At 40.9% G+C, this 16,212-nt stretch overlaps 1 long non-coding RNA gene and 1 pseudogene across 1 annotated transcript in view; both read left to right on the top strand.

The window, feature by feature from the left end:
- The window catches only part of LOC105370922 (uncharacterized), a 35,800-nt gene continuing 19,588 nt past the window's right edge, over positions 1 to 16,212 (top strand). Inside the window, exons 1-2 of the long non-coding RNA XR_932529.2 lie at positions 1 to 715; positions 4,343 to 4,420. This is a non-coding gene — a long non-coding RNA (uncharacterized LOC105370922). The remainder of the gene's footprint in view (positions 716 to 4,342; positions 4,421 to 16,212) is intronic.
- Positions 3,106 to 3,544, top strand: LOC100288241 (protein (peptidylprolyl cis/trans isomerase) NIMA-interacting, 4 (parvulin) pseudogene; annotated as a pseudogene).

The raw sequence follows: 16,212 nt of genomic DNA, 5'->3' as shown, positions 1-16,212 counted from the left end.
TCCCATCAGGTCTTTGGTGGAGGAGGTAATGGCTGAAAAACGTGAGCTTGTTCTTAACCAGGGAAAAGAGAAGAGACCCTGAAGAAGCTAGTCGGCACAGAGTGTGGCTTCTGCTGCATGTCCAGCTGCTGTCTGTCCCCCAGGAGACCATTCTAGAGCACACTTGCATGGGGTGGAGGATATTTTCAGCTGCTGAGTCTTCTTCAAGGAGGAGTTAGAGTCAAGACTCTCTGTCTCAGAACCTTGGAGTCCAAATAGAAAAAAAAAATTGGAGATGTGGTAACATCAAGTGTCAGCCAAGCTGAGAAAACTAGATGCCAAAAATGATATGTGTAAAAAGCAAGCGGGCCAAGCAGACACAACAGTTGCAGAGATAAGAGGCAGTCGCTTTTCTTCAATGGAGGTGCCGATGCCTACAGAGGACTCACCCAGACCCTTCAATCTGATGTAGCAAATAATAAAGAGAGAGATTCGGTACCTATGGGAACAGCCTCTACTCAGTGACATTCAAGACATTTCAATGCACCATCTACCTCATCTACCCAGGTGGCACCACCAGTGTGGGGTCCAGGAGACAGTGCATCGGGAAGGGACAGAACAGCGATCTCAGAGACCAGGACAGGCTCAGAGGGACACCTTGACCCTGGGGAAAGAAGAGGAGCCAGGGCCTTGTTTACATGTTGAAATCCTCAGGAGGTCAAGGACGAGCCATACTGTGAGTGGCTGAGAGGCGCGGGGTTCTGATGGACAACGGGAGGCTGGAGGAGGGCTTTAAGAAATAAGGGACTCTGGTTTGGGTGAAGGAATGGTGGGCTGAGCTTTGTGCAGGGTGAGGCACTAGGGCTGACAGAGGGCACAGGGGGATGTGAAAGGACACGAGCAATGAGTAAAATAACTTTTGCCAGTTGTTTCCATGTTCTCCCTTCTTCCAAGAAATCCACTTGCACAGAGATTTTCATCCATAGAAAGCAGAAAACCCCCAAGAGCAGAGGAGGGTCTGCTGTTTATGAAAAACAAGGCTCAGGGCAACTAGGGCCAGAGGCAATAGTTTTTGATTTCAGAGAAAATTTTACGTTTATTATGTACTTTTTTTTTTTTAAATGGTGTCTCACTCTGTCACCCAGGCTAGAAAGTGCAGTGACACAATCTGATCTCAGCTCACTGCAATCTCTGTCTCCCGAGCTCAGGTGATTATCCCACCCCAACCTGCTGAGTAGCTGAGACCACAAGTGCACACCACCACGCCCGGCTAACTTTTTGTATTTTTGATAGAGACAGGGTTTTACTGTGTTGCTCAGGCTGGTCTTGAACTTCTGAGCTTGAGCCATCTGCCTGCCTTGGCCTCCCAAAGTGTTGGGATTACAAGCGTGAGCCACCGCGCCTGGCCTATAGCTAATACTTTGAGGATACAGAGAGATGAAATTCTAGTGATAGGAATATTCCAGGATGAGAATTGGTAGGAAAATACACTGAGTGCAGTCTGGGGAGAGATTACAGTGATTTGGAGAATTAATGGGAAAAGAAATTGAGCTGATAAAGAAGTTTGCATGAGAAAGAGAGGACAGTGTTTGAAAATTAGCTAAAGAAGGATGTGGGGTGTATTAGTTTCCACTTTCTGCCGTAGCAAATTATACAAACTTAGTGGCTTAAAGCAACAAAAACAGTCCGGGTGCGGTGGCTCATGCCTGTAATCCTGGCACTTTGGGAGGCCAAGGCAGGCAGATCACGAGGTCAAGAGATAGAGACCATCCTGGCCAACATGGTGAAGCCCCGTCTCTACTAAAAATACAAAAATTAGCCATCCGTGGTGGCGCACGCCTGTAGTCCCAGCTACTTGGGAGGCTGAGGCAGGAGAATCACTTGAACCCGGGAGGTGGAGGTTTCAGTGAGCCGAGATTGAGCCACTGCACTCCAGCCTGGGCGACAGAGCAAGACTCTGTCTCCAAAACAACAACAACAACAACAAAAACATTATTGTCTTGCAATTGTGGGATATCAGAAGTTCAAAAATGGGTTTTATAGTGTTAAAATTGAGGTGTCGTCAAGGCTGTTTTTTTTTTTTTTTAAGGCTCTAAAAGAGAAGCTCTTCCTTGCCTCTTCCACCTTATGGAGACCATCTGTATTCCATGGCTCATGGCCCCTTTTCCAGCAATGGCATCACTCTGATCTGTGTTTCTGTTGTCCCATCTCCTTCTCCTTCTCTGACTCGGGCCCTCCTCTTTCCCTTAAGTAAGGACCCTTGGGATTACATTGGTCCTACTTGGATAATCCAGGATCATCTCCCCATCTCAAGATCTTTACCTTAATCACATCTGCAAAGCCTCTTTTGCCATGTAAGGTAACATTCATAGGTTCCAGGGAGTAGGAGGTAGATATGTTTTGGTGAGGGGTGCAATATTCTGTCTACCATACAGGATTAAGGTAGGATTTTTTTAAAAAATGGGAGATACAGACATGTTTATTCACTGAGGGGAAAGGGCCAGGAGGGAGGGAGAGATTTCAGGCCTAAGGCAGAGATGTAAAGACTGATGAAGAAAGCTCTTCAGGAGGTGAGGCAGGGAGGATGCCCAAGGCACAGGTGTGGGTAACAGTCTTGGACAGGAGGAATGAAACTGGGGCAAAGATGAAGATGAATGCAGAAATAACGTAATTTGCAGTTGCCTGGAAGGAGGTAATATTCTAAAGGGAACTCGAGATGAGGTTCTCAGAGAGAAGAGGGCAGGGTTAAGGATGGAAGCTGAGGATGAGATGCTAATGCGTGATATGTAGGGGCAGTCAAGCAGTCCACAGAACCCCTTCAGGAGCAACTTCTCTGCAACCAGCAATTTCTTTTTTACTTTCTCTTTCTTCCAATTGTGCCTCCGTCTCAGCGGGAGGCTCCCACAATTAATACTGTTCTGGTTGAAGCTACTCTTGGTTCTAGTAAGTGAAAGAAGAGAGGAGAGATGTGTTAGGGGGATTCAGAGGTAGATTCTGGAAGACTTTATTGTGATGAGATCTTTACTGAGCCTGGAAAATATAACAATTTTATGTTTCAGATTCAGTGACATTTTCACAGGATTAGAACACCCTTTCCATGGGGTTAGAAATTTCTAAGCCTGGATGGTACAACAGCAACTTTCCAAGATGCCGCTCAAAGGAAAAAGTGATTCTGGAAAAGGGGGAAAAGGGGGAGCAGCCTCTGGGAGTGACAGCACTGACAAGAAGGCTCAAGGTCCCAAAGGTGGTGGCAATGAAGTAAAGGTCACACACATTCTATGTGAAAAACATGGCAAAATCATGGAAGCCATGGAAAAGTTAAAGTCTGGAATGAGATTCAATGGAGTGGCCACACAATATAGTGAAGATAAAGCCAGGCAAGAGGGAGACTTGGGTTAGATGACCAGAGGGTCCATGGAGGGACCATTTCAAGAAGCAGCATTTGCCTTGCCTATAAGTGGGATAGATAAGCCTATGTTTACAGACCCACCAGTTAAGACAAACTTTGGATATCATATTATTATGGTTGAATGAAGAAAATAAAATCATATGAAAGACTGAAAAAAAAAAGAATTTTCTAAGCCCATGAAAAGGGCACACTTAGAAATTTCTAACCCCATGGGAAAGGGTGTTTGAATCCTATAAAATTGTCATGAAGTTTTTCTGCCTGGCAGAAAAATATGAGATGGTGATCACCATTTGTTTCCTACTCTATTCAAGAGCATTTATTGTGACTAAGGTGAAGGAACCCAGAGGACAGGGACCCAAGGCTGAATCCAGTCCTCTGAGGATAAAAAGAGGATAGGGAAGAGAGGAGAGTACACCTGTCACCTACTCATGGAGAGGCTGCATCGATGACGTCTCTACTTGCTAGCTCAGTCTTTCCAGACCTGGGAACCTCCATGAGCAGTGGGGATGGATGGAGTCGTTGCTGAGGAGGAGCTCCAGGGTGTGATGTAGACGTATAATGGTGCGCACTTAAACTTTCCTCAGCAGCCCTATTAGGGCTGCCTGACTGCCTCTGAGATTTGAACCTGGAAGATGAGATTCCAGCAGTGGTTAAAGCAGGAGAGCCACGAAACTGGAAGAGAGAGGAGACTGCCTGGGCCTCAGGGGTGGGACAGGAACGTGTGGCCTTTGGGTATGACTCTGGCTTAGAGGGCGGGAAGAAGAAGATTAAGTCACTGCTGTGACACGGAGGCAGAGGCTGTAGGAGGCCCTGGGGGTGTTGGGGACAGTGACTTCTTTCTGATAGATGAGATGTGAGGTGTCCCGAAAGCTGCATGGCTGCACTGACGAAGGGATGGATGGGGTTTCTGGAATTGCACAATTGTCAATCTGATGCCAAATTCATTGCTTTTAGGATGAGAATTAAAGACTCTTGGTGTGTCAGGAGAGAGGAAGAGTTAAAGTCTTGAAGAGGACTCTGTGACAGCTAAAGGTACACAAAAGAGCCCGGAATTCCTGGGGTAGACAAAGGTCGTCTGGGGGACACTGACAGGGACATTTGGCTAGATCATGTAATAAGTATTACTTTGTATAAGACCATTTATTAATGTGCTCTACTTTTTATCTTGAAATAAGGAGTAGAAAATAAGGATGTATATTTTCTAGTGGAAGCTATTGAGAAAGGACTTGGTAGTAGCACGTTTGGTGTAATCATTTTTATTCTATGAGATCTAATACACTGCCGTGCCCATGTGCTGACTGCATCAGTGAGGATTTATTCAGCACCACACAATTATTTTTGATAATTGACAGTTTCAGGAAGCAGAAGTTTTCATCTTCAAGGGACTAAAAGTTCAGCAGGCTGTAGCATCTGTCTTTTAAGACGTCTGGATGCTTGAACAAACATTTAGAACTGGACAGTGAGGAATAATCACAGTGTTTCAAAAACACAAAAACCAAACAGACCTTCAACGTGCTATTCTCTGTTTTGTTTTCACTCATGCTCCCCTCATTCTCTGCCTTCATATTCTTTTTTTTTTTTTTTTTTTTTTTTTTGAGACAGAGTCTCACTCTGTAGCCCAGGCTGGAGTGCAGAGGCGTGATCTTGGCTCACTGCAACCATGGCCTTCTGGGTTCAAGCAATTCTCCTGCCTCAGCCTCCTGAGTAATTGGGATTACACGCACACGCCACTGCACCTGACTAATTTTGTGTTTTTAGTACAGAGGGGATTTCACCGTGTTGGCTAGGCTGGTCTCCAACTCCTGGCCTCAAGTGATCCACCTGCCTTAGCCTCCCAAAGTGCTGGGATTACAGGCATGAGCCACCGCGCCAGCCTCTGCCTTCATATTCTAATTGGTAGAGTCCGCTTTCTTATGCTGTCATTTAAAACAGTTAGAACAAGCACTGGCCAATGTGCCCAAAGGTATGGGGAGGGAAGGGATTCTTGTCTTCTTCCACTTCCTCCTGGCTGTATGCCCTCGGCAATCAGCTAGCTTTTTTGAACTTCAGCCTTTTAATTTGTAAAATGAGAATACAAGGTTTTTTTTTCTACCTCTCTTGTTAGTTATTTTGAGAAATGAGATACTATTTGCAAAATTACTTTCACAGCTCTAACATGCTATATAGCCATTTCACACAGCAGAGACGCTAAAGGCAGGGAGAAAGGACAGCAGAGAATAGCAAGAGATGGCCCCGGGAGTGAGAGTGGGAGGTCAGGCCAGGAGACATCTTGCATAAAGGCCATGGGAAGAAGTGTGGCCTTTGGACATTTTAATTTTAATTTTATTTCTTTATTTTTTATTCTTTTGAGCACTCTGTCACCCAGGCTGGAGTATATTGCTGTGATCATGGCACACTGCAGCCTCGACCTCCTGGGCTGAAGCAATCCTCCCACCTCAGCCTCCCGAGTATCTAGGACTACCACCACCATGCCCAGCTTGCTTATTTATTTATTTATTTATTTTAGTGATAGAGTCTTCTTATGTTGCTTAGGCTGGTGTTCAGCTCCTGGGCTCAAGGGATCCTCCCATCTCAGCCTCCCGAAGTGCTGGGATTATAGGCATGAGCCACTGCACCCAGCCTGAACATTTTTAAATAGGAGAGTGATTTGGTCAGATTTAAACTTTAGGTGTATCACTTTCAACTCTGTGGAGGTTGGATTTCCGAAGGACCAGCTGAAAGGCAAAGAGATCAGAGAAAGGAAGGTTACAATAAAGATACTGAGGGTGAGAACTAGGATGGTGGTAAATCGCTGGGATGGACAGCAGAGGAAAAAATAACTTCAGAGGTAAAATAAAGAGCACGTAGTGATCAACTGACTGGTGGGAGAGAGGGAGAATTGAGGGGTCCGTGAAAGAGGACTCCTGAGTTTCTGGTGTAGATTGACAGCCCCTAATTCAGATAAGGGGATATATTATACAAGGAGGAGTAGGATTGGAAAGAATGAAGGTGAGTTCCATCAAGATGCACTGAGTTTGTGGAAACATGGGGCATGGAAGCGGAAATACCCCATAAGCAGTTGGATGTAGACATTTGAAGCTTGGGGAGAATGTCAGGGCTAAAGATGTTGATTTTGGAGGCATCAGCTTGTAGTTATTTTTTAAATCTTAAAAGTGTTCCTAAGTAGCTATAAAATTTGAAGGTCAAATAATCTTTAGGAAGACTAACGTTAAGAGGTGGCATATTATTTTCTAATTACAACAGTGGCTTACAATGATACAAATTGATTGTCTTACAGTCCTGTAGGTCAGAAGTCTGACACTGGGCTTTTGACCACACTGGGCTAAAATCTAAGTGTCACCAGGGCTGTGTTCCTTTCTGGAGGCTCTAGGGGCAGAATTCATTTCCTTGCTTTTTCCAGCTTCTAGAAGCCACCTGTATTCCTTGATTTGTGGCTTCCTTCTTCCATGTTTGAATCCAGCATGGGTGGGTTGAGTCTTTTTCATGCTGTCATTTTGCAGGTTTCTCTTCAGCTTTTTCTTCCACTTTTAGGAACTCATGTGATTAGAGTGGGCCCATCTGGATAATCCAGAATAATCTCCTCATCTCAAAATCTTCTGATTAGCAACTCTGATTGCAACTGCAGCCTAATTCTCTTTTGCCAGGTTAGGTAATATATTCACAGGTTTAGGGCACGGACATCTTTGCAGCATTATCTGCTTACCACAGATGGTAGAAAGAAAAGGCTTTCATTAAGGGGGTCAAGGTATGAGTGAGAGTGGTGTCATCCTTGTCCTTGAAATGAGGCCCAAAGATCTAAAGCCATCTTCTTGGAATGACTCTATCTACTCTAACAACTTAAATTGGGTGAGTAATGATGTGGTGGACAACTAGAAGATTTGGATTCAAGTTCTAGGCTTTTCCCTCATGCTTTGGGACCTTGGGTCATCTACACTCTAAGACATTTTCTTCATCTGCACACCATGGATCATGATTATTCTTCCCTCGTAAGGTAATGCACACGAAAACTTTTAGCAAATTATAGAGGGATTTGCATATGTCAATGATATGCTGTTCAGGAATTTCCCTAAGACTTTTTCAAGATAGGTTCAAGCTATGTCAATATTCTCTCAGGTTCAACTACCTCTTTCAAGCTACAAGGTAAGGCTTCCCTCAATCCTGAATTGCTAGGCTTTAGTAAAAGGATCTGCATTAAATGAGTGACTCTGTCAGCCCACATATATAGGGTATATACATAAGCCACTTATGTATATAAGCCGCCATTAGTGAAATTGCTCCTGCTTTCAATGTTAACATCACCAGCTGGTGAATATTAGTTTGTACAAATGGAAGGTTCTAGAAAAGATGGGAGGGTATAAAGAGAGCCCCTAGTGGAGTAGGTCAGTGAGAACTCACATTGAAGAACTATCACCAGGAAAAGAGAGTTGACATAATCTGCACTAATTTAGAAGTCAGATAAAAAAGAGTTTAAACCTAAATAGGACAGATTTTGGTACTTAATGTAGAATTTTCTAAGGTTAGAGATGTCCAACTCTAGCATTAATGGGTGAAGACTATTTTTTTAGTGTTAAGGTATAGGCTGTAATGATCTTTATCATTAGGATTCCTGTGGTGGGTACTTATTTGGATGTTATGACTATTTAGGTTCCAAATGTAAGATTTTATAATATCTTTAACTTTCAGTCGGACATTGCTACTTGCAAATCCCACAGTCAACTTCAAACTCAATACATCTAGAATCTTCTGGTTTAAGCCCAGTTTATTTTTGCTACTAAGCGTCCCTGTTTCCATCAGTGGTAGCTAGTTTCTCAAGCCCACAGGCTAAAACTCTTTTTCTCTTCATTCTATGATGATTAATTAAGCACTCACTACATACCAGACAGTGAATGAGACAAAAGGATTACAAAGATGAATAGGAGATGTCCATTCCAAGTAGTTTGGTATCCTGGATACATCCATAAAAGCCTTCTGCTGCAATACATCTCATATGCTATATTTAAAAATTATTTAAGTGCTAAATTAGCAAGAAAGTAGGAGTACTCTTCAGATGCCCAAAGCAAGAAAATGCAGGAATTAAGACTGGTCAGGGCAAAACAAACATTAGCCATTTAACAAAAATAACAACTAATTTAAATAAAGACAAGATAAAGCTAAACTACCAATGGGATTAATCGGAGTTAAAGTACACTAAAGTCCTTGATCTGTTCAAGAGGTGAGTATTTAGTATCATAAGATTTAACTAAATTATATGTGTATGTTACGATTTCTAGAGTAGTCATCGAAAGAATAGAAATTGAGTGCAAAGCTTTCAAACTAGTAAAGGAAAAAATAAAGTAAAAAATAAAATTAATCCACAAGAATGGAAGAAAGGAATGATAATAATAGTTAAACAAAAGAAAATGAAAATGCAAAAAATAATAGAAATTACAAAATAAAATAAATATTAATTAACCATTTATCCCAATATATGTGAATGGAATCGATTATCCAGTTAAAAGTAAATACTGTCACATGAAATTTTAAAGACAGATTAGGCCAGGCACGGTGACTCACACCTGCAATCCCAGCACTTTGAGAGGCCAAGATGGGAGGATCCCTTGAACTCAGGAGTTTAAGACCAATCTGGGCAACATAGCGAGACCTCCTCTCTACAAAAAACAAAAAAATTAGCCAGGTGTGGTGCTGCATGCGTGTAGTCCCAGATGCTTGGAAAGCTGAGGTGGGAGGATTGGAGGTCCAGGCTGCAGTAAGCTGTGATTGTGCCACTGCGCTCCAGCCTGGGTGACGGAGTGAGAGCCTATCTCAAAAACACAACTATATATATATATATATATATATATATATATATATATATATATATATACACACACATATATATATATACACACACATATATATATACACACACATATATATATAAAATAAAAGATTAGCCATTTTTTGCTTATAAGAGACACACTTAAAATATAAAGTTGAAAGTAAAAGAATGGAAAAAGATATTCCAGGTAAATATTAAGCAGGTATAGTTATATCAGACAAACCATGTATAGGTGTAGCCATATCACACAAAATAGATTTTCAGGTAAAAAACATTATTAGAGACAAAGAAGATCAATATGTAATAATAAAAAAGTGCAAGTCATAAGACTGACAGTTCTGTTTTTAATTTTTTGAGGAACTGCCATACTGTTTTCCATAATGGCTATACAAATTTCAATCTCCACCAATAGCGTGTACAGTTTCCTTTTCTCTACATCCTTGCCAGCTTGTTATCTTTTGTCTTTTTAACAAGAGCCATTCTTTTTTTTTTTCTTTGTTTGAGACGGAGTCTCACTCTGTTGCACAGCTGGAGTGCAGTGGCATGCTCTCGGCTAAATGTAACCTCCACCTCCTGGGTTCAAGCAATTATGCCTCAGCCTCCTGAGTAGCTCGGATTACAGGCACCCACCACCACACCTGGCTATTTTTTTTTTTATTTTATTTTATTTTTAGTAGAGACAGGGTTTCACCATGTTGGCCAGGCTGGTCTTGAACTCCTGACCTCAGCCTCGACCTCCCAAAGTGCTGGGATTACAGGCGTGAGCCACTGCACCCAGCTCGACAACAGCCATTCAAACAGGAGTGAGGTGATAGCTCCTTGTGGTTAATTTGCATTTTCCTGATGATTAGTGATATTGAGACTTTTTCATATGCCTGTTGGCCATTTGTATGTCTTCTTTTGAAAAACGTCTATTCATGTCTTTTGCCTATTTTTAAAATCAGGTTATTTGTATTCTTGCTATTGACTTGTCTGAGTTCCTTAAATATTTTGGATATTAACCCCTTATCAGATGTGTAGTTTCCATATATTTTCTCTCCTTATGTAGGTTGTCTCTTTACTATGTTGATTGTTTTCTTTGCGGTGCAGTAGTTTTTAGTTTCATGCAATCCCATTTGTCTATTTTTGGTTTTGTTGCCTCTGTTTTTGAGGCCATATTAAAAAAATCATTGCCCAGACCAATTTCATAGAGTTTTCCCGTGTTTTCTTATAGTAGTTCTATAGTTTCAGGTCTTATATTTAAGTTTTTTTTGGTTTGTTTTGAGACGGAGTTTCGCTTTGTCACCCAGGCTGGAGTGCAGTGGCACAATCTCGACTCACTGAAGCTTCCTCCTCCCAGGTTCAAGCAATTCTCCTGCCTCACTCTCCTGAGTAGCTGGGATTACAGGAGTGCATTACCACGCCCGGCTAATTTTTGCATTTTCAGTAGAGACAGGGTTTTGCCATGTTGGCCAGGCTGGTCTCCAACTCCTGACCTCAGGTGGTCCGCCTGCCTTGGCCTCCCAAAGTGCTGAGATTACAGGCATCAACCACTGCGTTCAGCCTATTTAAGTCTTTAATCCAATTTAGAGTTGGTATTTGTATATGTTAAGAAATAAGGGTCTAATTTTATTCTACATATGTATATCCAGTTTTCCCAATGCTATTTATTAAAGGGATTGTCCTTTCCCCATTGTGTGTTCTTGGCACCTTTGTGAAAATCAGTTGGCTGTAAAAGTTTGGATTTATTTCTGGGCTCTTTATTCTGTCTCTGTTTTTATGCCAGTACCATGCTGTTTTGGTTACTATAGCCTTGCAGCATATTTTGAAGTTAGGAGTGCAATGTCTCCACCTTTGTTCTTCTTATTCAAGATTGCTGTGGGTATTTGCGGTCTTTTGTGGTTCCCTGTGAATTTTAGAATTTTTTTTCTTTTTTTTTTTAAAGAATGCCATAGGTATTTTGACAAGAATTGCACTGAATCTGTAGACTGCTTTGGGGGTAGTGTGGACATTTTAACAATATTAATTCTTCCAATTAATATTGTTAAATTTATTTGTATCCTTTTCAATTTCTTTCATCAGTGTTTTACAGTTTTCATTGTAGATAACTTTCAATTTCCTTGGTTAAGTTTATTTCTAGGTATCTTTTTTTGGAGCCATTTTAAGTGGGATTGTTTCCTTGATTTCTTTTTCAGAGAGTCCACTATTAGTGTATAGAAACATTACTAATTATTGTGTATTAATTTTGCATTCTGCAACTTTATTGAAGTTGTTTATTAGTTCTGACAGTTTTTTTGGTAGAGTCTTTAGGGTTTTCTAGGTATATGATCATGCTGTCTGCAATGAGGAACAATTTGATTTCCTGTTTTCCAATTTGAATGCCTTTTTAATTCTTTCTCTTGCCTAATTGCTCTGGCTAGGATTTCCAGTACTATGTTGAATAGAAGTGGGGAAAAGTGGGCATTCTTGTGTTGTTCCAGTTCTTAGAAAAAAAGGTTTCAAATTTTCCCCATTCCGTATTATGTTAGCTGTGGATTTGTCATACATGACGTTTATTGCATTGAGGTACATTCCTATACCTAACTTGTTGAGAATTTTTGTCGTGAAGAGATGGTTGAATTTTGTCACATGCTTTTTCTGCATCTATTGAAATGATCTTATAGTTTTTGTCCTTCACTCTATTAATGTGATGTATTACATTTATTGAACCATCCTTATATCCCTGGGATAAATCACACTTAACCATGATGAGTGATCTTTTTAATTTCTTGTTGAATTTGATTTTCTAACATGTTGCTGGGGATTTTTGCTTCTATGTTCATCAGGGATATTGGCCTGTAGTTTTCTTGTGTGTGTGTGTGTGTCCTTGTCTGGTTTTGATGTTAGGGTGCTGTCCTTATAAAATGTCTTTGGGGCCAGGTACAGTGGCTCAAGCCTGTAATCCCAGCACTTTCAGAGGCCAAGGCAGGTGGATAACCTGAGATCAGGAGTTCGAGACCAGCCTGATCAACATGGAGAAACCTGTCTCTACTAAAAATACAAAATTAGCCGGGTGTAGTGGCGCATGCCTGTAATCCCAGCTACTGGGGAGGCTGAGGCAGGAGAATCGCTTGAACCCGGGAGGTGGAGCTTGCAGTGAGCCGATATCATGCCATTGCACTCCAGCCTGGGCAACGGAGCAAGAATCTGTCTCAAAAAAAAAAAAATGACTTTGGAAGAAGGGCCTCTTCTTCAGGTTTTGGGAAGAGTTTGAGAATAATTTATATTAGCTTTTCTTTAAATATTTGGTAGAATTCATCACTGAAACAATCAGGTTCTGGGCTTTTCTTTGATGGGAGACATTTTATTATTATTTATTTTTTTTATTATACTTTAAGTTTTAGGGTACATGTGCACATTGTGCAGGTTGATTACATATGTATACATCTGCCATGCTGGTGTGCTGCACCCACTAACTCGTCATCTAGCATTAGGTATATCTCCCAATGCTATCCCTCCCCCCTGCCCCCACCCCACCACAGTCCCCAGAGTGTGATATTCCCCTTCCTGTGTCCATGTGATCTCATTGTTCAATTCCCACCTATGAGTGAGAATATGTGGTGTTTGGTTTTTTGTTCTTGCGATAGTTTACTGAGAATGATGATTTCCAATTTCATCCATGTCCCTACAAAGGACATGAACTCATCATTTTTTATGGCTGCATAGTATTCCATGGTGTATATGTGCCACATTTTCTTAATCCAGTCTATCATTGTTGGACATTTGGGTTGGTTCCAAGTCTTTGCTATTGTGAATAATGCCGCAATAAACATACGTGTGCATGTGTCTTTATAGCAGCATGATTTATAGTCCTTTGGGTATATACCCAGTAATGGGACGGCTGGGTCAAATGGTATTTCTAGTTCTAGATCCCTGAGGAGTCACCACACTGACTTCCACAATGGTTGAACTAGTTTACAGTCCCACCAACAGTGTAAAAGTGTTCCTATTTCTCCACATCCTCTCCAGCACCTGTTGTTTCCTGACTTTTTAATGATTGCCATTCTAACTGGTGTGAGATGGTATCTCATTGTGGTTTTCATTTGCATTTCTCTGACGGCCAGTGATGATGAGCATTTTTTCATGTGTTTTTTGGCTGCATAAATGTCTTCTTTTGAGAAGTGTCTGTTCATGTCCTTCGCCCACTTTTTGATGGGGTTGTTTGTTTTTTTCTTGTAAATTTGTTTGAGTTCATTGTAGACTCTGGATATTAGCCCTTTGTCAGATGAGTAGGTTGCGAAAATTTTCTCCCATTTTGTAGGTTGCCTGTTCACTCTGATGGTAGTTTCTTTTGCTGTGCAGAAGCTCTTTAGTTTAATTAGATCCCATTTGTCAATTTTGCCTTTTGTTGCCATTGCTTTTGGTGTTTTAGACATGAAGTCCTTGCCCATGCCTATGTCCTGAATGGTAATGCCTAGGTTTTCTTCTAGGGTTTTTATGGTTTTAGGTCTAACGTTTAAGTCTTTAATCCATCTTGAATTGATTTTTGTATAAGGTGTAAGGAAGGGATCCAGTTTCAGCTTTCTACATATGGCTAGCCAGTTTTCCCAGCACCATTTATTAAATAGGGAATCCTTTCCCTATTGCTTGTTTTTCTCAGGTTTGTCAAAGATCAGATAGTTGTAGATATGCGGCGTTATTTCTGAGGGCTCTGTTCTGTTCCATTGATCTATATCTCTGTTTTGGTACCAGTACCATGCTGTTTTGGTTACTGTAGCCTTGTAGTATAGTTTGAAGTCAGGTAGTGTGATGCCTCCAGCTTTGTTCTTTTGGCTTAGGATTGCCTTGGCAATGCGGGCTCTTTTTTGGTTCCATATGAACTTTAAAGTAGTTTTTTCCAATTCTGTGAAGAAAGTCATTGGTAGCTTGATGGGGATGGCATTGAATCTGTAAATTACCTTGGGCAGTATGGCCATTTTCACGATATTGATTCTTCCTACCCATGAGCATGGAATGTTCTTCCATTTGTTTGTATCCTCTTTTATTTCCTTGAGCAGTGGTTTGTAGTTCTCCTTGAAGAGGTCCTTCACATCCCTTGTAAGTTGGATTCCTAGGTATTTTATTCTCTTTGAAGCAATTGTGAATGGGAGTTCTCTCATGATTTGGCTCTCTGTTTGTCTGTTGTTGGTGTATAAGAATGCTTGTGATTTTTGTACATTGATTTTGTATCCTGAGACTTTGCTGAAGTTGCTTATCAGCTTAAGGAGATTTTGGGCTGAGACAATGGGGTTTTCTAGATATACAATCATGTCGTCTGCAAACAGGGACAATTTGACTTCCTCTTTTCCTAATTGAATACCCTTTATTTCCTTCTCCTGCCTAATTGCCCTGGCCAGAACTTCCAACACTATGTTGAATAGGAGTGGTGAGAGAGGGCATCCCTGTCTTGTGCCAGTTTTCAAAGGGAATGCTTCCAGTTTTTGCCCATTCAGTATGATATTGGCTGTGGGTTTGTCATAGATAGCTCCTATTATTTTGAAATACGTCCCATCAATACCTAATTTATTGAGAGTTTTTAGCATGAAGGGTTGTTGAATTTTGTCAAAAGCCTTTTCTGCATCTATTGAGATAATCATGTGGTTTTTGTCTTTGGCTCTGTTTATATGCTGGATTACATTTATTGATTTGCATATATTGAACCAGCCTTGCATCCCAGGGATGAAGCCCACTTGATCATGGTGGATAAGCTTTTTGATGTGCTGCTGGATTCGTTTTGCCAGTATTTGATTGAGGATTTTTGCATCAGTGTTCATCAAGGATATTGGTCTGAAATTCCCTTTTTTGGTTGTGTCTCTGCCCGGCTTTGGTATCAGAATGATGCTAGCCTCATAAAATGAGTTAGGGAGGATTCCCTCTTTTTCTATTGATTGGAATAGTTTCAGAAGGAATGGTACCAGTTCCTCCTTGTACCTCTGGTAGAATTCGGCTGTGAATCCATCTGGTCCTGGACTCTTTTTGGTTGGTAAACTATTGATTATTGCCACAATTTCAGCTCCTGTTATTGGTCTATTCAGAGATTCAACTTCTTCCTGGTTTAGTCTTGGGAGAGTGTATGTGTCGAGGAATTTATCCATTTCTTCTAGATTTTCTAGTTTATTTGCGTAGAGGTGTTTGTAATATTCTCTGATGGTAGTTTGTATTTCTGTGGGATCGGTGGTGATATCCCCTTTATCATTTTTTATTGTGTCTATTTGATTCTTCTCTCTTTTTTTCTTTATTAGTCTTGCTAGCGGTCTATCAATTTTGTTGATCCTTTCAAAAACCAGCTCCTGGATTCAATAATTTTTTGAAGGGTTTTTTGTGTCTCTATTTCCTTCAGTTATGCTCTGATTTTAGTTATTTCTTGCCTTCTGCTAGCTTTTGAACGTGTTTGCTCTTGCTTTTCTAGTTCTTTTAATTGTGATGTTAGGGTGTCAATTTTGGATCTTTCCTGCTTTCTCTTGTGGGCATTTAGTGCTACAAATTTCCCTCTACACACTGCTTTGAATGCGTCCCAGAGATTCTGGTATGTTGTGTCTTTGTTCTCGTTGGTTTCAAAGAACATCTTTATTTCTGCCTTCATTTCGTTATGTATCCAGTAGTCATTCAGGAGCAGGTTGTTCAGTTTTCATGTAGTTGAGCGGTTTTGAGTGAGATTCTTAATTCTGAGTTCTAGTTTGATTGCACTGTGGTCTGAGAGATAGTTTGTTATAATCTCTGTTCTTTTACATGTGCTGAGGAGAGCTTTACTTCCAAGTATGTGGTCAATTTTGGAATAGGTGTGGTGTGGTGCTGAAAAAAATGTATATTCTGTTGATTTGGGGTGGAGAGTTCTGTAGATGTCTGTTAGGTCCGCTTGGTGCAGAGCTGAGTTCAATTCCTGGGTATCCTTGTTGACTTTCTGTCTCGTTGATCTGTCTAATGTTGACAGTGGGGTGTTAAAGTCTCCCATTATTAATGTGTGGGAGTCTAAGTCTCTTTGTAGGTCACTCAGGACTTGCTTTATGAA

The sequence above is a fragment of the Homo sapiens genome, chromosome 15 (assembly GCF_000001405.40).
Source record: "Homo sapiens chromosome 15, GRCh38.p14 Primary Assembly".
NCBI classification, from domain to species: Eukaryota; Metazoa; Chordata; class Mammalia; order Primates; family Hominidae; genus Homo; species Homo sapiens.
Note: the sequence above shows the minus strand (reverse complement) of the source record. Positions and strands in the feature narration are given on the sequence as shown.